At 41.5% G+C, this 21,695-nt stretch overlaps 1 protein-coding gene across 7 annotated transcripts in view; it reads right to left on the reverse strand.

Annotated features, from left to right (window-relative positions):
• SRPX (sushi repeat containing protein X-linked) overlaps positions 434-21,695 on the reverse strand; it is a 71,533-nt gene continuing 50,271 nt past the window's right edge. For 3 of the 7 annotated variants that reach the window (NM_001170750.2, NM_001170751.2, NM_006307.5), the window contains 6 exons: positions 15,864-15,990; positions 12,028-12,149; positions 11,112-11,291; positions 7,991-8,124; positions 5,557-5,678; positions 434-989 (listed from right to left, as the gene is read on the reverse strand). In NM_001170750.2, the coding sequence (NP_001164221.1) occupies positions 806-989; positions 5,557-5,678; positions 7,991-8,124; positions 11,112-11,291; positions 12,028-12,149; positions 15,864-15,990 (869 nt within the window). In that variant the 3' untranslated portion in view covers positions 434-805. Of the gene's footprint in view, positions 990-5,041; positions 5,128-5,556; positions 5,679-7,990; positions 8,125-11,111; positions 11,292-12,027; positions 12,150-15,863; positions 15,991-21,695 lie in introns of those variants that run through there. The other 4 variants (XM_047442563.1, XM_017029893.3, XM_047442564.1 and 1 more) reach the window with 2 other exon arrangements.

A 21,695-nucleotide genomic window follows, 5' to 3' on the forward strand; every position in this document is an offset into this window, starting at 1 on the left:
ACTTTCCTTCACTCTGCCTCAGTGCCCAGGACTTTTCCACTCCTACCCCACCACATGACTCCAGGGTCCGTAAAACTGCCAGAGCCTTTTGTTCGGGACTCCCTCAATATAAAGATGACCCCACGTCTGTGCTGCTCCACTTGAATCTTGACCAGCGTGCTGTCCCACAGGGGAAAATGGAAGAGTGAAGTTGATGCTTCCTCTGGTTTTAGACTGTGACTGAAGGCTTAACTCTTTCATTTTCAGCTTGTGGCTTTAATTGGCTACTTGAACACCTGACAGCTCAGCTCTCTCCCAGCTCAGCAGAGCTCCTAAAAAGACTAATTAAATTTTTTCCATTCTTAAAACACCACTAAGAATCACAATCCTAAAACCACTGACCACACTGAACAAGTATGGCTGGTGCTTGACAAACAAAGTGAGTTCTACTAAATTTGCTCCAAAACATTTTGTTTTATTAATAAAAGTCTTACTTAAAAAACAAAATAGAAAAGAGTTAGGTGTCACATTGAATAACATGTTGATAGCCTGTGTATGGTTATGGGTTCTAATTTCTCTACAAAATCAAGCAGCCATGATGGAGTAAAGAAAGTTAGAAAGAGTAAATATGGTCATATAATTTTTTGAAACACTTCCAAGTACAAAAAGCAGCATGCTAATTTTTAAGTGCAAAGAAAGCTCATAATAAAATAGACTTTTAAAATTACAAATAAAATCTGTACATCAAGGATATTTTTAAGGCTTTCCCGTGTGCATGTCACTATGTAGACAATGAAGAGGAATTGCCAAGAGAGGAACCATCATGTCAGGTGTTACAGGTCTGGCTCATTTCGGCTTGTAGGACCATCTCTTCTTTTCTCAAGGGAAAAGTGTCAATCAGGTTGAACAGGGCCACAGGCATCACCAGGGAGACATAGCGCTCTTTGTCCATGCCATGCTTATCCACTAGCACCATACTGAAGGAGTAGAGTGGGATTCGCAGCAACAGCCTGTGGCAGACAAAGAAAAGAGGAGACTAAGTCAAACCATGACTCCCAAGGGTCCTGGTGGATCAACCAGAGCCTTACTGTGACAGTGTGCAGAGAAAGCTTTGATACAATGAAGGACTGAATCATCCTTTAGACCCTGTCTACTCCAACTGTGACCCTTGAACCAGCAGCATCACATGAGAACTTGCTAGAAATGGAGACTCTCATGCCCAACCCCAAACCTACTGAATTAGTGTCTGCATTACTATCAAGATCCCCAGATGACTGGTATGTACCTGAGAGGTTGAAAAGCACTGCTTTGGTTTTAGATTATAGTCAGGAAGACTTCAGGCGTACAATGGTGCCACATACCAACGTTTGGTACAAGGTGCATACAAGGCTAACAGATTTTTTTTATTAAATTGGAATCAATCCAAGTTTGGAATCAACCCAAAACCCACGTTTGCTGACTAGTGTTGCACGACCACATACACACTAGGACAAAGTCAGTGATTATGAACAGGGGTGATTTTGCTCCCCACCCCCAGGGGAAATTTGGCCATGTCTGGAGATATTTTTGGTTGTCACAGTGGAGAGTGAAGATGTGACCGGCATTTAGTGGGTAGAGGCCAGGAATGCTGCTAAACATCTTGCAATGCACAGCCAACTGTCCCCACCAAACAAAGAATTATCTGTTCCCACATAGCAATAGTGCCAAGGCTGAGAAACTCTGGGCTAGGTAAAGCTGATTGATATAATTTCCCAGCATGATAGTTCTGGCCTGTTCAGTGGCCAGCTCAGGACTGCAGAGTTATAAGGGATTGAGCTTGGTCTACAGCCCATGTATTCTGACTTGATTAATCATAATTTGTACCCCAAATAATTCCAAAAAAGAATATGAAGTGGTTTCAAGTGTCTGGTGTTCTTTCTGCTCTACCACACTAGAATTTAAACTAAAAAATATGATTTTTATATCAACACAAACATATTTAGATGGGAATAGCTAGAGAAAGCAAACAAACAGATAAGCTGAGCCCAATGAATAAATGAGCCCACTCAGTCTCTTCTCCAGATTTTTTTTTCAGTTTAGATATTTTGAGATTATGTATGAGGCAGAATATACACTGCCATCTGGATTTAAAGTAAAATATGTTTTCCTCATACAAACAGATCAAGGTTAAAAAATCATTACATAGAACACAAACTACTTTTTTCTGCCTTTTAAGAGGGAGTTTCGAGGAAGAAGGGAATAATTTGTATTTTATCCCAGTGGGGAGCTAAATTGCCAGTTCACTCCCAGTGACTAGAAATGAAATAAAGAGGACATGACAATACCTCTGCCAGGTTTCCTGCAGTGCTAAGAGGGGAGCTCAGAAGTAGATGACTGCAAAGTGCATTAATGAGTTCTGAACACGCGAATGTAGGCTGCAAAGGTGTGAATGAAGAGATAAAATGCTCTGCATCTTTAAGGGGAAGGATATTGAGTTTTCTTTTGGGAGCGTGGAGGAGTTCTGGTACAGGGAGCTCTCAGGAAACAGAGGAATAGGGAATGTGGTGGCTGAAGCCTGTGGGAAAGGGTGACCAATAAGAAATTGGAGCATTCATTTTTTTTATAGTGCTTGTGAGACTAGGATGGGAACCCCCACCACCACCACCACGGTGCCACCATCTGCTACCATACACATTCCTGTGTAAGTCTTGTGCCTTCATTGACACAGAATGTAAAGAGGGAAAACTGTCATGGGAAGAGCTGAGTGGTTGGATCAGCAGGCTAGCAGCAGCCACAGGAATGCATCCCACTAGGGCCGAAAGACCACAGAAATCTTGGGGATGAATGATCAAACACCACACAAAATCGGGGATGAGGTGTGATGCCGACAGTATGCCTGAGTTACATATGTGTCTGTCGTCAGATTGGAAGGAGTTCTTCCTGGAAAGTCTTCCAGGGAACACTGTAGACTCAAAGAATAATGTGGGTATAGAAACTATGGCTTTCTTGGTCCCTGTCTTCCTTGAGATTGCTGGAAAATTCCTCTGGAAAGCATGAATCAGATCATACCTCCAGATAAAAAAGAAATGAGGGTAAGAAAGAAGGTAGGCGGTGACCCTGCAACCCCAGGCACCCAGTCTCTTCTTTCTGTTGACTCCCTTCAAGGGTTTTATCACGGCCTTGGTGCTATTTGAAAATAGCCAGACAAGAGAATTTTTACATTATGCAGGCATTATGCTTTTCCTTCTCCTCTTTTGCTTCCCATTCTTTGCCTAAATCATCTTTTTTCCTCTGCACTAGACTCCAAGGTGTCTAAAAAACACCTTTCCAATTCAAAGGGAAAAAGTTCTGCCAAGCTCTTTGTTTCTCACTGATATGTTTGATAACACAGGCATGCCGGCCTGACACAGAATCCATTAGGTAATGCACCTGAGTGATCATTTCTGTATGACATTTACCTGGACTATCATCCAGCTGCAAAATAGTGATTGACCCTTTCCTTGAAGGCTGCTGGGCAAAAATTCTATTTCAAACTGTAAAGGCTTTGGTAAAAAACTAGGCCAGTGGTCCTCACCATGTGGTCTCTTGGGAGCTCACGAGAAATGCAAATTCTCGGGTACGACCAGAGACCTACTGAATCAGAAACACAGTTTAGAGCCTACAGTGTAGACTCCAGCAATACGTATTTTAACAAGCCCTCCAGGGGATTCTGATGGAGGTTAAAAATTTGAGAACCACGACATAATGTATTTAAAAATTATCTTCAGCCTATAGAAGTCTATGGTAGCCCCAATATATACAATCTGAATGACAAGTATTTTTTAATCACATTTTTCTGTTCTTCAAGTAGATTAAACAGTTTAAAATCACATCAAGATTTTATGAAGATGACATACACACACACATACACACACATTCAATCCAAAGACCATTCAGAAAATTCTGCAACAAGTTTTAAAAAATCATTGACACAGGATATGAGCAAGTAGTTCTAAATAAGCAACAGCTTCATAAAACCTACTTTGAAAATATTCACCATAAATATTTAGATATCAACACAACTCTCTGTCTTAAGTTTTGTACACTTCAACTTGAAGTATTTGTATACTAACTGTAGATATACAATATACTTTTAAAAGCTATTATCACCTCTGGAAATAGTAAGGCTGTTTCAATGAAATTTTGAGTCATTTACTCCACTTAGCGCCAACATGGTGCCAGGTACTGTGCTAGGTACTGAGTAGCCAATATTTGAAAGCTCTGCTACTGAAGTCGGTATGGGGAGGTGCTACATGCAAATGCAGTAAAATATAACAAAAACAAAAGCATATGAGTGTACCCAGCCTTCTCCATTCATCAGCCGACTAAAGAGAACTCATGAATCATCTTATTTTTCTTCCATCCTGGCCCTCTGAGTTTTTTCTTTCTTTCTTTCTTTCTTTTTTTTTTTTTTTTTTTTTTTTTACCTTGGTAGGAATGTGGCAGAATCTTTTTGGGTGGAAAGTGGTACAAATCAAACATGGGATGGGTCAAAGGCAGCTGGAAAACAGGGAAATTAGAGAAAGAAGCTATTGTGTCTATCTATAGCATCATTTGCTAAGGATATGTTTCTATCATATAACCTCTCAAGGAATTTCTGTGCCTTCTGAACAGGTGTGATAGGGTTTACCAAGTCCCATTTCATTTTCTTCTTTCTGGCAATACAGAAAGACTGCATTTCCCAGCCTCCCTTAAAAGTGAATTGCAATCATGTAACTAGTTCTGGCCAATGAACTAAGAGAGTGAGCAAGGTGTGGCACCTCCAACGTGAAGCATAAAGGAGTCAGTGTGAGTTTTTACTCTCTTTCCCCACTTTTGCAGAAGCCTGAAAGCCACGTGTTCGAGATGTTTGTAACTGCCTGAGGCCCTGAGAGACAGGGAGCAGCCTGGGACCCTGAAAACAGAGATCTGTACTCTCCCATGCAGTGTGTGAGAGAAAAGGCTGGGTGAGAAAGGAAGATTTTAAGGAGTTTTGCTTTAGCCTAATTATCGATTTCACAGTGGTCAAGAGATGCAAGTAGAAATTTGGGTTATTCTGAAATTACCTTTTGGTTGTTGAATTCTGCTTCTTTAATACATCATTATTCAGAGACTAAAATCCATGGCTCCAACTTTGTAAGGGTTATGAAACTAAAATATAATTGTTAAAATAAAGGTATGAACAAGTGTTCTGGAAGCATGGAGAAAAAAGAGACCAAGCCTGGGAAGTCTAATTGGATGCATGCTCTTCTAATAAGACCATGATTGCTTAAGTCTTTTCTTCAGGTGCTCCTCTCCTAACCATCCTTCCTCCACCAACCACACACACACATACACACACATGAAGCAAAAACGGTTGGTTGGAGGGAGTAAGAAAGAACACTGGTAATTACCCACTGCACAATTTATTTGAACAAACAGCAACATACTGATTAGTATGGTTATAACACTCCCAGAATAAAAGCAATTAAACATTGAAGGTTGCCTGAACTCAATCCTGAATAGAAAGAAACCAGGGAACCTAATCAGTTAAAAATGCATTCACAGGGGATAAGATTTAAGAACAGAACTTCCCCCTACCTGAGCTGCAGCGCTAGGGCTGGAGGCATAATCTTTGCTCCTATCCTGCCAATGAGAGTCGGGAACACACCCACCAGCTCCACCACGGTGATGTGTCGAAGATCAAGGCCACACTGTGCTTGCTGGGAAAAAGAAAACCCAACAGGGGAAGTATGAGCATGGCTAAAAAAGACATCCTTATCAAACTAGAAACCGACAGAAGCAGCACTGGCCTGTCTCTGGAAGTTTATTTGCTCACTCTGAACTGTCCTGAAAACAGATGAGAAATTGGGGTTAAGATAGTGGCTATAAAACCTAAATACCTTTGCTAGAGGAATCATTCAGATATGGCTTGACAGTGGGATTTTGAAAACCTAAGCAAAAGGGCAGTCTATGTATTTCCAGACAGGGTGAGACCTTGAGTGAGTCAAATTTCCTAAAAAGTATCCAAGACCACCCCAGAGGATTCTAATTTTTCTTTGCAAGGAGAGAAGACTATTTCCAGAGTCCACTTCTCTGCCCTGTTTCCACTCTCCACACTCCCCTGCCCTATGCCCTCCACACCCAATCCCAGGGGAAAAGAGGATAAAAGGTTCCAAGCCTCTAAGCTGGCTCTTGGCAAGAACCTTGGGAATGTGGCCCAGTCAACCACGAGGAGGGCTCATCAGGAATGGCAATGGCAATAAAAAAAAAAAAAGTAATGTAAGACAAATATGATGAATTTGGCTAAATGGGAAAAGAAATTTTGAAGTCTTGAAAGACGAAAACATCAAATATGTTTTACCAAAATTCCACTGAAACGTCCCTATATGAGGTTACAGAACTGGTTGAAAAGTTTAAAAAGTTAGAAATAGACTTTTGTATTACTCTCACTGAAATGCCTAAGTCAATCAAACCTTTCTTTGAAGGCTCTGGTTAAAATGCAAATGTAAGTATATTTGGAGGAGGAGGGCACACCAAAACATCTTGATATAAAATATCTTATCCAACCAGTTGTTAAGTTAGCAAGTGTCTGAAGGGATGGGACAGACTAGAGCAACGATGGCAATCTTTCTCTGTAAAGGGCCAGAGAGTACTTCAGGCTTGGCAAGGTTGGATTGCCTCTGTCCTAACCACTTCACCCATCATTGTAGTGCAAAAGCAGTTGTAGATCATGCACAAATGAATTAGTGTGGCTGTGTCCAATAAAAGTTAATTTACCGAAACTAGCCATGGGTCACCATAGTTTGCTGACACAGAGGAAAAGCAAGTTGTTTGGCTTAATTCATTTTCCTATGGAATAAGAAGAGATGAGGAAATGCATGATCATGGAATATAGCCTGCAATGCCAGTTTCCCACAAAAGACAGAGGTATAAGCTTGTGTTTTCTGAAGAGCAAGCCCCTGGCTTGGACAAGGAGATACAAGGGGAGGTAAGCTGGTGGGGACCAGGGGTAAAGATGCAATGAATTTGGTTCCTATCAAGGGAACTCACAAAAATTTTATATGGCTCTTCAGAGTTCATAGGCAATTCTTCAAGTACGTGGGAAGAGTGAAAAGAGACTTATTATTATCCATTTTATTAATGCTGATATGAGAAGTAAATTGTAGCCTTTGATTAAATCAATACTGTTCTAAGCACTTAGTTCTATCCACTGTAATAAATGAATAAAATAGTCTCAAAAAAATGTGCAGCACTGTATCCATGGCACAGCATACATCCTGCCTCTTTAGTATTCAGTGAAGTTGGCCACTCTTTTGCAAACCAGCCTCAGGACAAAAGCAAGCAATTTCTAGTTTGATCCTTACAGTTTCTAGTCAGCCTTCCCCACACACCCAAGATGTTGGTTGCCTCATTTAGTAGCTACAAAATTTACATAGCTGAGAAGGACACATTTCCCAGAAAAGTGACCCTCAAACTTTAGAGTGCTTAGGAATCACCTGGAGATTTTGTTAAAAGTGTAGATTCTGACACAGTAGGTCTGGGAGGGGCCCTGAGAATTGGCATGTCTATCAAGCTCCCAGGTGATGCTGATGCTTCTGGTCCGGTCCATGGATCACACGTTGAGAACCACTTTTCTAAGAAAAAATGGCTGTCACCCTCTGAGTCAAAGAAATTCCCTGGGGAAAAATGTGGGCAGGCAACCAATTGATTGCTTCCAGCCAGGCATATCCTGGACAGGTTTGGCAAAGACAATTGTTCTGTGGCTAGGCCTGGACAGCATGTCAATTAGACTTATTGGTGAAGACAGACAAACCTCATTAGTTGGAAAACGATTGGGTTAACTCTAAGGAGTCAATGTTAATCAGGTTATGGCCCAGAACCAGAAATGAATGGTGGTAGCTCTAAAGTGCCACTTCCTGAAACTCACTGTAAGTGCATTAGGCACTGAATCTGGCCTTTGCTTTTAGTGAAATGGCTGGGCCCTTCCTGTTAAAGGTCTCCCTCTCACCTTGGCCCTGCCTCGAGGACTCACCTGCAGCATTCCTAGCTGGAGCCGGTAAAGGAGGTTTCGGGCTGTGGGTGTGGACACAATGAGGAGTCTCCTTTTCTCATAAAACTGATCCAGAAGTGCAGCTGCCGTTCTGACACCCACATTGACGTTCATGGCTGTAATCAGAAATGGCCACATGGGTCAGAAACCTTCCACTTGTTCTGGCTCAACAGAGCCTATGATGACACACAGAACCATTTGTGTAAGAAGTAAACCCTGAGATAAGGATTCAAGTGTAAACAGTTTATTTGGGAGGCAGTCCCAAGAAGCGCCTGTGGAGGAGTACGGAAGTATATTCACTTCCTCTTGCTGCTGTAACAAATCACCATAAACTTAGTGACTTAACATAATACAAACTTATTCTTTTAGATACTGCAGGTCAGGATCTAAAAGATCCTGGTCTCATGGAGCTAAAATCAAGGTGTTGGCAGGGCTATGCTCCCATGGAGGTTCTAGGGGAGAATCTGATTTCTTGTCTTTTTCAGCATCGAGAGGCCACATTCATTCCTTGGCTAGTAGTCCCTTCCTCCATCTTCAAAGACAGCAGTGTAGCATCTTCAAATCTCTCTTCTCTCTGACCTCTCCTTCCATCGTCTCTTTCTATGACTCTGACATCAGTTCTGCCTCCTTTATATAAGAAGGCTTGTGATTACATTGGGCCCACTGGGTAATTCAGGATACTCTTCCCATTTCAAAATCCTTAACTTATTACATCTGTAAAGTCCCTTTTTTCATGTAAGGTAACATATTCTCAGGTTCCAGGGACTAGGATGTGGACATCTTTGGTGGACCATTATTCTGTCTATGTCAGGAAGTGAGACAGTGAAGGAAAGAAAACAATACCAATTGGTTATCAAGCAAGTTTTTGCTGTGGGCATTTGGAACTCACTCCCACTGGGGAACTCTAGGAGATGATATACAACATACCTCCAGAATTAACCCACTGGAGGGAACTGGAGTATTTATACAATTGCTCCATCATTGCTGAGGGCTGCTTCTGGGGCACTAACTCTCCATCACTTCCAGCTGGCTCTGTGCATGGGCTGACAATGCTTTCATAGCCAGGAAAGAAATGCTCTCAGACAGACAGACCCAGTTAATTGCAGTAAGTAGCCTTTTGAACACAGATGGGAATGTGAAAGGCATATGGGCCAAGCACCATAGTATCTGCTGGGGAAAGGGGTGCAGAGAGGCAGAAGGGTAAGAGAATGGGCAGTGGCCAGGCTGGCTTTGGAATGGCTCAGAATCTCTGAAGTCTGCCTCCTTGGTGCAGAAGGGACAAAGCAATGTGGGGCACAAAGGCCACAGAGCAAACAACACAGGCAAACAGGACATGGGACAAGGCGGTTTTATAATAGGTCTTCCCTTTAAGCAAATAAATGACAACTAATTCCAGCTGTTCAAGGTCAATGAAGGATGTCGTATAGATAGGCAAGCAAAAGGCTTAGCCCCAGAGAAGAAATAATAAGAGAAAAACTAGTAGATGCCATGTATGATTTATAATCTTGGTTTTCATATTTCACATTTTAGGTTTGCATTGAAGTATTTGTTCATTCACACATTCATTCATTCAGCCATTATATACTGAGTGCCTGCCATGTGCCAAGCTCTATGCTAGGTACTAGGATGTCACACTGAGTGATACACAGTTCCTGCCCTCTTTCCTGCCCTCTTCCCTGCCCCAGGGACTCAGAGTCTAGGATAGCTCTGGTCAAGAGAAATACAATGTAAGCCACTATATTTAATCTTAAATTTTCTAGTTGCCTCATTAAAAAAGTGTAAAGAGACCGGGCGCAGTGTCTCACATCTGTAATCCCAGCACTTTGGGAGGCCGAGGCGTGCAGATCACGAGGTCAGGAGATCAAGACCATCCTGGCTAACATGGTGAAACCCCGTCTTTACTAAAAATACAAAAAATTAGCCAGGCGTGGTGGCAGGCACCTGTAGTCCCAGCTGCTCGGGAGGCTGGGGCAGGAGAATCACTGGAACCCGGGAGGCAGAGGTTGCAGTGAACCGAGATCGCGCCACTGCACTCTAGCCTGGGTGACAGAGAGAGACTACATCTCAAACAAACAAACAAACAAACAAATAAAAAATATAAAGAGATAGGTAGAAATGATTTTATGTTTTATCTAACCCAATATATCCAAAATATTTCATTTCAACATGTAATCAATATAAAAAATTAAGATACTTTATATTCTTTTTCACACTAAGATTTTGAAATTGGTATATATTTTACACTTATAGCATATCTCAATTCAGAATAGCCTCATAGGTGGTGGGCATGAAGTCCTTAGGTAGGGAGTCTATAATAGGTGTGTTCTTTCTACTTTAATACATGAAATTGAAGAATCTCAGGCATTTAGCTGATGGTATATATGTCTCTCTGTCACTTAACTCTAAATGGGGGCTTCAATTAAAAGAAAGTGATAAAGATGAAAGGGTGCCAGGAAATGAGAAAAAGAGAAGTCTATAAACAAGAGATACATACATAATTTTCTGGCTAGTCCAAGTTTCAGACTCATTACCCAGCCCAATTTTTCTTCATCAGGAATAAGAGCTGGCATAAGGCTTTGCCTGTACCAGGCACTGCTCTATTCCACTGTTCCACAGATGACCTCATTTAATCCTTACAACTCAAGAGGTAGATGAGGTATTATTTTCTTCATTTTACATAGGAGGAAAGATTCCAAATGCCCAAAGTCTATGTAACTTTCATGCCAGTGATGCAAAGCAGGTATGATATTGTCTCTACATGGCAATTTACTAGCTTTATAAATAAGATCCTTACATTTCTAGAACAAAGGAAACTAGAGCAAATTTTGCTGATTCATAATGTCACCAAAGGCTGGCCCTAGGTTCCTACCTTGAGCTTCTTCCTTAGAGGACATGAAAAGGAAATTAGAGGATAGGCAGGGGCAAGATGGATGGCAGATGAGATGAGCTGCAGCAGGGATCTAGGGACTATGTTCATCCACTCAGATAAAGAGGGATGGCCATGAACTTCTCAAAGTATATGAAGGGAAACCTCTCTTGCACTGGAATCAAGAACCAAGGGGTTTACAGGTTCTGCTGCAGGCTGGAGGGGCGGCATACCTACCTGCACAGGTGGGCTCCGTGCCAGACCAAGCCAGGTTGGATTGACATACTCGGGCAGGGCTACCCTGGAGCTCATAGCCGCCGATGCAGGAGAACTCACAGGTGGCTCCATAATTATCACCGTCGCTGGAGCACTTCATGTAACCATTCTCTGGGGCATTGAGTTTGCCACAGCGTTTGACTGTAGGGACACAAGTCCAGAGGGGTCTCAGTGCTGAGCTCCCATCCACAGAGTAAGCAGAAAAGGTGAGGATGCAGAGGCATCAGCTTTGCAATCAGGCTTCTACATCAGCCTGTGAAATGAGTGAGGGAGGAGGGATGACTATTTGGTCAGTGAGTGAGTCTTGCAATGGTCACCATCCATACCAATGAGACCACTGATATCAACTGGTTTCGCCCCTAGTGTTATAGATGAGGAAGTGAAGTCCAGAAGAGTAAGGAGTAAAGATGGTTAGCAATTAGTTGCCCAAACCATCAGGCATAAAATAATCCTTAAAAACATTTTCTTTCATACCAATGGTACTAGAACACTAAAAACATGTTCTCCTGGTGGCCCAAATTAGGGGGCTCCTATTCACCCTGGTTGTAGATGGACTCACAGGCTTCAGCTGGCCACCTAAGCTCAGGGATGGAAAAATTATTGAATAATATTCTTCTAGGACAGTCAGCTATGGGATCCTGTAAGACTAGTCCTGGGAACTCCTTAAATAATCTGGCAACACTGACGCCCATCCGGATGTGTATCGTGAAATTCAGGCATTAAGATAGGGCACTTCCCCAAGCCTTATTAGAGACTAATCTAAAGCTGGCAAGTCTCCCACCACAGTAGGCACTTGAGAGAGTTCTGGCTTGAGGACCTACTTCCCTTTGCTCTTCTAAAGAGAGGGGGAAACAAAACCAATAAGCAGTACTCTTACCTCTTACTTTAACTCGAAATTTGCAAGTGCCCTTATTCTCAGCTCTGTCATAGACTGTGTACTGGATCTTGTGGTCTCCTTCTGGAAAGTTGGAGCCTGGGGGGAGGCCTTTTAGAATGACACTTAGAGAAAAAAAATCAGAAACAGGAAAGATGACATTATGGACCTGACAAGCAAGTGACGATCCCCTACTCTTTACAGGACATGGAGAGACTGAGGGGCAACCATTAGACCAGTTTAAATAAAACAAAAATTTCTTGAAGAATAGAATCTCCTAAGCTTTAGTCTGTTTTAGAAGAGCAGTTTGTGACCAGAAAATGGAAGACCCAAACTACTGGGAAGCTTAGACTTTTTTCTTGCTGAAGGGTAGAATGGTAGGGAAGTGGGTAGAGGGGGGAGGGAGGATGAAAAATATAGGGCCCAAGTCTCCTCCTTCAATCTCACTCTTGTTCCAGGGGGGACCTGAATTGCCTCACTGTTGGGAAGACGAGGGAATTTTCTGTGAGGAAAATCATTAGAGAATATAGTCCAAGCAGTCACTGGCAATTTGGGCCTGCGGGGCGGGGGTGGGTGCTAGAACTTTCTCTGTTCTTTCTGTCTGGGACAGTGGAGACCTAAAGGCAAGTTCTCTGTGATTCCTTGGTTATCCTAATAACATAATAATAATGACAAAAAGTGTTCTTTGCACTTACATAAACCTTACATGTTAGGCATGGTTCTAGGCATTTTGCATATATTTACTTAATCCTCCTTATTTAATCCAACAACCCTATAAGGTAGGTAGTATTATCTCTGATTCACAGATGAGGAAACTGAGGCACAAAAAGGCTAAAGAACTTGCCCAAGGTCACACAGCTAGGGTGAGTTTATCTTTTTTCTTGGCTGCCTAATGAGGACACCAATAAGTATAGCAGGATCAAAATCCACGTTCTGTTTTTCAATATACATATAATTCCCCATCTCCCTACAGTTCTGGGAATGATGAGAATATTTGCTAATAATGAACACGTGGAATTATCATTGTCACCATTGAGGAAAGCCTTACATGTAGGTGGGTGAGGTGGCTGTTTACCAGGTATGAGAGAGGGGTCTTGGGAAAATGTCAGAAATCCCACTATTTTGAGACATGCTGCTGTTGGCTTTAGATGCTTTAAGGTCTTTAGAAAGCACAGTTTAAATTCAGATAAACCTGAGAGGAGTGATACTTCAAATATAAGTGGATGTAACCTTTCTGAGACTTTGTTTCACCTGTGACATGCAAATAACAGAAGGAGTAAATAAGGGAACTCACAAGAAGCACTTGTCTCAGAGCTTGACACTAGAACCTTCTCCCTCACAAGGGAGCGATAGAGCAGTAGCTTGGATAGGAAATGGTGGAAGGGGTCATAGGAGAAATGCCAGGGCAGCAAGGAGCCCTAGTGAGAGCGAAAAGGGAACAAGACAGCCTTCTCTGAACTCCTCATCCTGTTGGAGTGCATTCCCACCACATCCTGCTCTAAGCCTTTCTGGCCTCTGGGTTGTAGAACTCTGGAAGCAGACAGCTGCTCTGAACAAAGGGACAGGAGAATACTGAGATGCTGTTTTAAAATGTAACAATCCTGCCGGGTGCAGTGGCTCATGAATGTAATCCCAGCACTTTTGGAGGCTGAGGCAGGCAGATCACCTGAGGTCAGGAGTGCAAGACCAGCCTGGCCAACATGGCAAAAACCCATCTCTACTAAAAATACAAAAATTAGCAGGGCATGGTGGTGCACACCTGTAATCCCAGCTACTCAGGAGACTGAGTCAGGAGAATCACTTGAACCTGGGAGGCGGAGGTTGCTGTGAGCCAAGATCGTGCCACTGCACTCCAGCCTGGGCAACAGAGTGAGAATCTGTCTCAAAAAATAAAAAAATCAAATAAAATGTAACACTCCTAACCATATTACGCAAGTTACCCATAAAAAGAACAAGGTGAATATTCTCACAAAGCTTGTAGACAAATAGAGTCATCTGATGGCTTGATGTTTTGTGTTTATCACACAGGTTTTTTCAACAGCAGTCAGAGCTGCAAAAATCTAAAAACCTACTACGTGCTGGGGCTGGGCCAGACATTGTGCTAGACCCTGAAGAGTCAAAGGTAAATAAAACCCAATCCCTGATAACATCAACTTACTTTTCAATTCTGATTGCCTACATTTTCTCCAAAGGAATTTGTGGGATGTGTATGTGACAGCAAATAATTTTTTAATGGTCAAACTTTATCTTTGAGAAGTTACAATGGGAGAGCATAACTAGTAATACTACTTAAGCTAGATGAGGCACTGGGGGAAGATTATTGGAATGTAGGAACAAAATGTCCTGTCTCCTCTCACTAGAAACTGTACTGTTATTGCTAATCATTGTGTAAAAATGTTTTGTCATGCACAGCCTGGGTTGATAGGATTCTAGAAAGTCTTTTCCTGCTTTATGGATCACCAGGAGATAAGTTAGAGGTATCCTTTCATCTACAGATGAAAACTCAGTGGGGAACTCTAATATGCCCATAAACTTTAAGGCACAGATATGAATGTGCTAACATGAAGTAGTGGTCTCCAGGGAATATGAAGGCCAACCAAACAGTTGCAGGGGTACAGGCCCAAATGCTAGATTAGAACAACACATAGCTAACCCTCACAAAGGGATCCACCCATTTTTAAAAGCTTCTTAACAGTGCTTCTCATTGTGATTGGTAAAACAAACACACCAACAAAAAGCAACTCAGATACATGTCAAACTATGAATGAAATTGGTCCAGGAGAATGGGGTAGAGGTGGGGAAGAAAGCAGAAGATACCTTCTCTTTTTTTAAATAAGCATCTGTAAGTGTTTGATATGATCGGGAGTTTTAAAAATAAATTAAAAAGCTTTGAAAGAGATAAATACAGCCAAAAAACAAGGGGTGAAAAAGTTTTGCACTAAACTGTACTCACAGAGCACAAGAGCGGCAGCCTTTGGCACCACCTGGGAGACACAGATGGCTTCCCAGTGCAGGTAATGGCCTGGGGGCATGAGTAGGGTCTGCCTGGGCAGGCAATGGGGGTGGCTCTATTCTTAAATTAACCAACTGGCTTCCTCTTTCCCCTTCTGTTCCTCCTTCCCTTCTTCTCACCACCCCTTCTTTTACATTTTTTTTATTTTTAATTTTTGTGAGTATATGGTAGGTATATATATTTATGGGGTACATGAGATTTTTTTTTTTAATTTTTTTGAGATGGCGTCTCACTCTGTCACCCAGGCTGGAGCACGGTGGTGCAATCTTGGCTCACTGCAACCTCAGCCTCACAGGTTCAAGCGATTCTCATGCCTCAGCCTCCTGAGTAGCTGGGATTACAGGTGTGTGCCACCATGCCTGGCTAATTTTTGTATTTTTAGTAGAGATGGGGTTTCACCATGTTAGCCAGGCTGGTCTCAAACTTCTGACCTCAAGTGATCCGCCTGCCTCGTCCTCACAAAGTGCTGGGATTACAGGCATGAGCCACCGCACCCAGCCAAGATGTTTTGATACAGGCATGCAATGCATAATAATCACATCATTCACCACCCCTTATTTCTCCTTTTTCCTTCAGTAAGGATTTACTGAGTGCTAACTATGTGCCAGGCACAGTTCTGGGCATTAAGGACATAGCAGTGAACATATTATAATAGAGACAGGCAATCAACAAATACATAGGTGACATATATAGTATGTTAGGTAGTGACCAGGGGGACCACATCTGAAAGCATAAATAGACCAGCATATATACACTCCCCTACTCTGGGTAGTAAACATCTCACATAAAAGAGACAGCATCATTTTATCTGCCAAGTTTCACTTACTCAGTAAGAATTCCATCTGCTGTGTCTCTTCCTTCGGGTGTCTCCCAGGACACCCGGACTGTCAGTTTGTTGGGTTCTGCAATGCGTTCCTTCACACTTGGGCACTTGATTCTAGGAGGTTCCATATCTGAAAATATAACCAAAACATTCTCATCATCATCAAGAAATATCTAGTCAAACTGGGGTTCAACACCCACAGTTTAAAATACCAAAGCCTCTGGGTATTCTCCATTTTCAAAGAGTTTGTTCACCCTATATATTCCCCTTTTCTCCCTTCATAATGCTTTTACTCTCCTGCTAAGTTTTGAAGATTGTTTAAATACTCACATTTGCAGGGCTAAACCTGCAATCAACTGGCCTTGCAAGGTGTCCTGTGGGTAATTCATTAGTTACAGCCTTTCCTCCCCATGCTTCCAAACTCTGCCTACCGAAGGCCACATGGCAGTTACCCAGCTGAAACTAGAAGTCATTTGGCTTTAGTGAGTACTTCCTGCTTTGAACACAGCATCATGGAATATTACAGAAAGGCATTCTAGCTATCATCTAGTCAGATTCAATTCAAGGCAACAAATTTTTCATGAGTACCAATCTTATCCAAGGCTTCATTCCAACTGCTGGGGTTGGGGGTGCACAAAGGCAAGAGAATCATGTGCTCCTGACATTTCAGAGAATTTGCCATGTATTGGAGGGATTACATTATCACACATGAAATATAACATGAGGTAGAAAATGGCAATTGCCCCAGGCAAGGTAAAAGTGAATGCTATGGAGGTGTAGAGGAGCCGCCCAACTCTCTCATTTTACAGATGTGCAAACTGAGGCTCAAAGAACTTAAATGATTTATTTAAGACCACACATGTAGATAATGGCACTGTGAATTACAATCTAAGTCGGAGCACTTGCCACTGGAACAAGCTCTCTCTCTTCCTGCTATCTATTATCAACATATTGCTTAATATCTTAAAATAGGCAATGGTCTGTCTGGGTCCACTCTCCCCTTGAACTGCTACTGAACTACACTTATGGTTTTATGTTCTGGGACAGCAGTTTTACTGTGGCTCTGGACCTCCAAAAGCCTCCCAAATTTCTTCAAGTAGTTTCTCTACCTGGTAATAGGAGTTCTGCCTCGATAGTGATAACAAGGATGGGTGGTTAATGAGGGCTCAAAGTAAATGAGATGTCAACTCTACACTGGGTTGTATTTCATCTTATAGCTGAAGTGAAATCACAAGAGGAAGTTCACATTTCTGCAAATTCTACTTAATATTTCTGAACAGGTAGAGAATGTATTTAAAGAAGGCATAGCAAATTAAGGACATTCAGCTTCATGTTACTTTACATATCAACTGATAAGTATTAAGTGCTATTACTGCCTTAATGAAAGTTAAATGTCCTTTTGATTCTGAATGACAGATGTCTTTGAGAGACTAAATGCACCAAGTAAAATTCTTTATATACTTTCTCCTGTGTCTTGTCTAATAATTTCTCATTTTATTCAGGGTAAGAAGTTACGAATAACTTATTAAACAATTTTGCCTTCAGCTATCCAAATTCATTTTCATTCTATGTCGTGCTTCAGTGGAGTGTGAACTTAACAGCCTTAATGCACCAATCCTAAATTGAATAACCACCATATTTTGTTGAATCTAAGTCACTCCTAATTGTGAAATGCATCCCTATTTCAGGGATATTAAAAGGTAGAAATAATACGCTTCTCAGAATTGATAAAATAAAGTATACAAATACTATGATGAAATGGAAGATGCTTTAAATGCATTCAAGATGTCTATACTCAGCTGTTACGTTTTTAAAAACATTTAATTTTTTACTATGATAGGTGATAGAAGACAAACTTTTATAATTCAGATGAACATTTCACAGAAAGACAAGTATATAATGACTGCCCCCTGCTGGTCAAATATAGCTGGCAATTACATTATAGAAAGTATATTTATTAGCATACAGATTTCAATGTAAAATTACATTGTGTTACCATATTTTCTTGGTGCAGCATGGTCAGAGTGAAAAGCAACTTAGTCTCTGTCAGGTAAACTAAATGTCTGGATGATACATTGTTGTTTGTTTTCTGTATCAAGATGTACTAACAGTGTAAGCACACAGGCTCCAAGATAGGTTATCTGGGTGAAGAGTCTCAGAGTTTCCCAAAGCCAGCTTATCTCTAGCTAACAATGATCAGCTGAACTGGCCTAGCTTTTCAGAAACAGTGCTCTTCCAAAGAAGAAACAAGAAGAAATAAATCATTACAAATAATAACTAATATTGGAGGACTCCTTCCTACATGCCCACCCCATGCTAAGTACCCTCCCTATATTATTTTACTGAATTTGCACAACCACCCATTAGACTAAGCAGTGTTATTAGCATCCTCATTTATAGACTGGGAAGAAGCATTTCCTCTCTTTTGGAATTTCTTTGTGGTCTGGGATTTTTAAATGCCATTACATATTTTAAAGCTATTTTAATAAACCAAACCCTTTTGTGTATCTGCCTGCTGCTGACCTAGTGTTTTCCGCCAACCTTTGCACACATACTGTTTTGTGATGGTCTGTCATAGCTTCCCCATGAACCCTTGAAGAGCCTCTGCAGGACTTGATCCTGACACATCCTCAAGCAGCTGCCTTCTCTCTCGGCTGGTGAGACAAGCTGGTCTGCCCTTCAGCTGATGCTCCAGAGACCTAAGCCTGTTATTACCCAGACTTGGCCCCGATAGCATTTTATAAGTTATACATTTCCATGAATGAAAGGAACAAAGTTACTATAGAAACATAATTACTATCCCCTGTTGAATTAGGATGCCTGCAATTATATAAAAATCTTGAAACCTTCAGTGAAAATTCTGGCCTTTGCTCTCTGCCACATTCATTGGAGACATCTGACAAACTGTCTCCCTTCTCTGTGCTCTAGTTATCTCTGTGCATATAAAATATGAGATACAAATATATTGCATTGTATCAACTACTATTTATCTAAGAAGCTGAACTTTTTTTTCGAGACAGGCTCTCACTCTGTCACCCAGGCTGGAGTGCAGTGGCACAATATCGGCTCACTGCAGCCTTGACTTCCCAGACTCATGTGATCCTCCCACCTCAGCCTCCCAAGTAGCTGGGACTACAGGCATGCACCACCATGCCTAGCTGATTTTATTTATTCATTTATTTATTTATTTTTGTAGAGACAGGATTTTGCCATGTTGCCCAGGCTGGTCTCGAACTCCTGGGCTCAAGAAATCTGCCTGTCTTAGCCTCCCAAAGTGCTGGGATTACAGGTGTGAGCCACCAGCACCCAGCTGAAGCTGAACTATTTACTTGGAAATCCTTGACACATCTAACCCGGTAGGTAGTGGAAATAAGGAAGAAGCTCAAAAGGACAAAGTCTTGCCCAACAGATAACAATAAAATGCAAGGGAAGTGACCCTGTGCCAGTTCCAGACCTAGGCCCTCAAAGAATCTGGTGCCTTCTGCTTTCACTATGTTAAAAGCCAGCTGCCATCTAAAGAAGTCCAATTGACTGGAGAGGCCATGTAATCAGGATGAGAAATTATAAATGAGAGAGAGAGAGAGAAAGAGACTCAGCCAGACCCCAGTCAGTACAACTTTTCCCAACTGAGGTACCAGACCTGTGAGTGAAGCCATCTTGAATCCTCCAGCTCCACTTGGTCACCTCAACCATTACCACATACAGCAGAGATGAGCTGTCCCCACAGAGCTCTGCCCAACTTTCCAACCCATAGAATCTTTGAGCAATAACATAGTTGTTTGGAGCCACTAAGTTTTGTGTGGTCTATTGTGCAGCAACAGATCACTGATGCAAATATAAAATAGTTTGAGTTTGGTGATAGAGAAAGGAAGAGTTCTTTTCAAGGGGGCATAGGAAGTGAGTGACTGCCAAATGCAGAACAAACCTGGCCATTGAAAACTCATCCAGTTGTTTGCTTCCCCCAGCCAGAGCGTAATCTCTGTGGATGGCTCTGGGAAGTGGTTTCCTCTGTTTGGCACCATACAAAAATCCAGAGAACTTTCCAAAACAGACAAAAGAGGCAAGAAGGGAGGCAATGAAATCCACATTTAAAAGTCATGATCATAGCCGGGTGTGGTGGCTCATGCCTGTAGCCCCAGCTACTCAGGAGGCTGATGTGGGAGGATCACTTAAGCCTGGGAGTTCAAGACCAGCCTGGACGACATAGCAAGAGGCCAGCCTGGGCAACATAATGAGACCTCATCTCTAAAAGTCAACATCTTCACAAGAAAGAAGCCCAAATAAAAATTCATTGGTGATACATTTATATTAGAGAGAGCCACTAAAAGTTGACCTGTTCTGTTTGTACTAACAAATCATGTAAGGGAAAAAGTGAATCAGTATCTCAGTCAATCAAGTTGTTTTAACTGAAACTAGCCTCTGAAAGTTTGCAAAAGAATGTGTATTTGTCAACCCAGGAAGAATTTAGCACAATTTAACATCATTTGCAACAATGCATGGATACATTCATTCTTAGCCCTACTGATGTTTGCATCAACTGAATAATGCAATGCAGCCCAGCAATAATGCAATGATCCCATTCCTATGGGTCATTGGGTAAACCAGCTGTGAGACAGCTGGGACACAAGAAACGTATGCCATCAATTTCCATATATTACATCTCCAAAATGTTTTATTCCAGAATTTCATTTGTGTTAATAAATCTCCACCTATTCTACTCTGTAGAAAACAAAAAATAAGTGAGCAAAAAATAAAATATATTTATTTAAAAATATTTTTTCCTTGATAGATAATTAGAACTTAAATGTGTTGTCTGGTCACTTTATTACAATCCGTTCCACAGGGCAAAAAGGAAAGTTTGTACATTGTCTTTTGTTAAAGTAATTAAATGGATACTCTCTGAATGTCAAAAGACCTTTGCTGGTTTTTCATTGTCCGTGGTTTTTAAAGTATCTTTAATTTGTTTTCTTCCTGTTTTGGCCTAGGAAGAAGTGTTGGTCTAAAGGAGAGATCATGTGTCTACTCAAAATCTGGTCTTTACATGAGGACTTGTTGTGATTCCAACTGTTCATTGTTCTATCTAAATGCCAACATAACCAAAAATAACTAAAAATGGAAAGAAAGAAAAATATCCCCCGAAAACAATAGTGGTTACATTCTAAGGTTTATTTTCTTCCAGATCAATGGAGGTTGTGGCTCTTCAAAGACTTTTTACCCTCCTGCAATTTGCAGTATTTTTTTTCCTCCTACATTGACTTATTTTTATCTATATCTGTTTCTGAAATAACTATGAATTTCAGCTCATTGCCAGAGTATGGTCTGTGTAAGAGAATTAATTTTAACTTGTGGCACCTTCAAATTAGCCAGACCACAGAACTGACCACCTCAGAGTCCAAAGTAAGCCCAGTCTTCTCTCTTCCCTCACAGTCTAGAAGAGAACTGGGACAACTTTCTCACCACTCAGTACAGCTCTGGCCAAGACTGTTGAAGGTTGTGTGGAAATCTGGGAACTACTTAGCCACTATGTGTCACCTCCTAAAATAGGTTGAAGTTCTGAGTTACGCTCAAGGACCCCCTACCCCTGTCAACACAAAAACAAATTTATTAAACTATTTTAATACATTTAAAGCCAAAAAAGTAAATAATACCCCTGGAGTAAAATTCACTGGGGACAAACCTCAGCTTGTCTGTCGCGAAAATCAAAGAAAGAATTGCCTGCTTGCTTTGCCCATTTCTCTCTTTTTTCCTGGGAGCTCTAGGCTCTCTTGTGGATCGCTGTACCCCTTTTTGTCATCCCTAACTAATTGCATGTACAATCCTCCTTCTCCCAAATAT

The sequence above is a fragment of the Homo sapiens genome, chromosome X (assembly GCF_000001405.40).
Source record: "Homo sapiens chromosome X, GRCh38.p14 Primary Assembly".
Taxonomy (NCBI): Eukaryota; Metazoa; Chordata; class Mammalia; order Primates; family Hominidae; genus Homo; species Homo sapiens.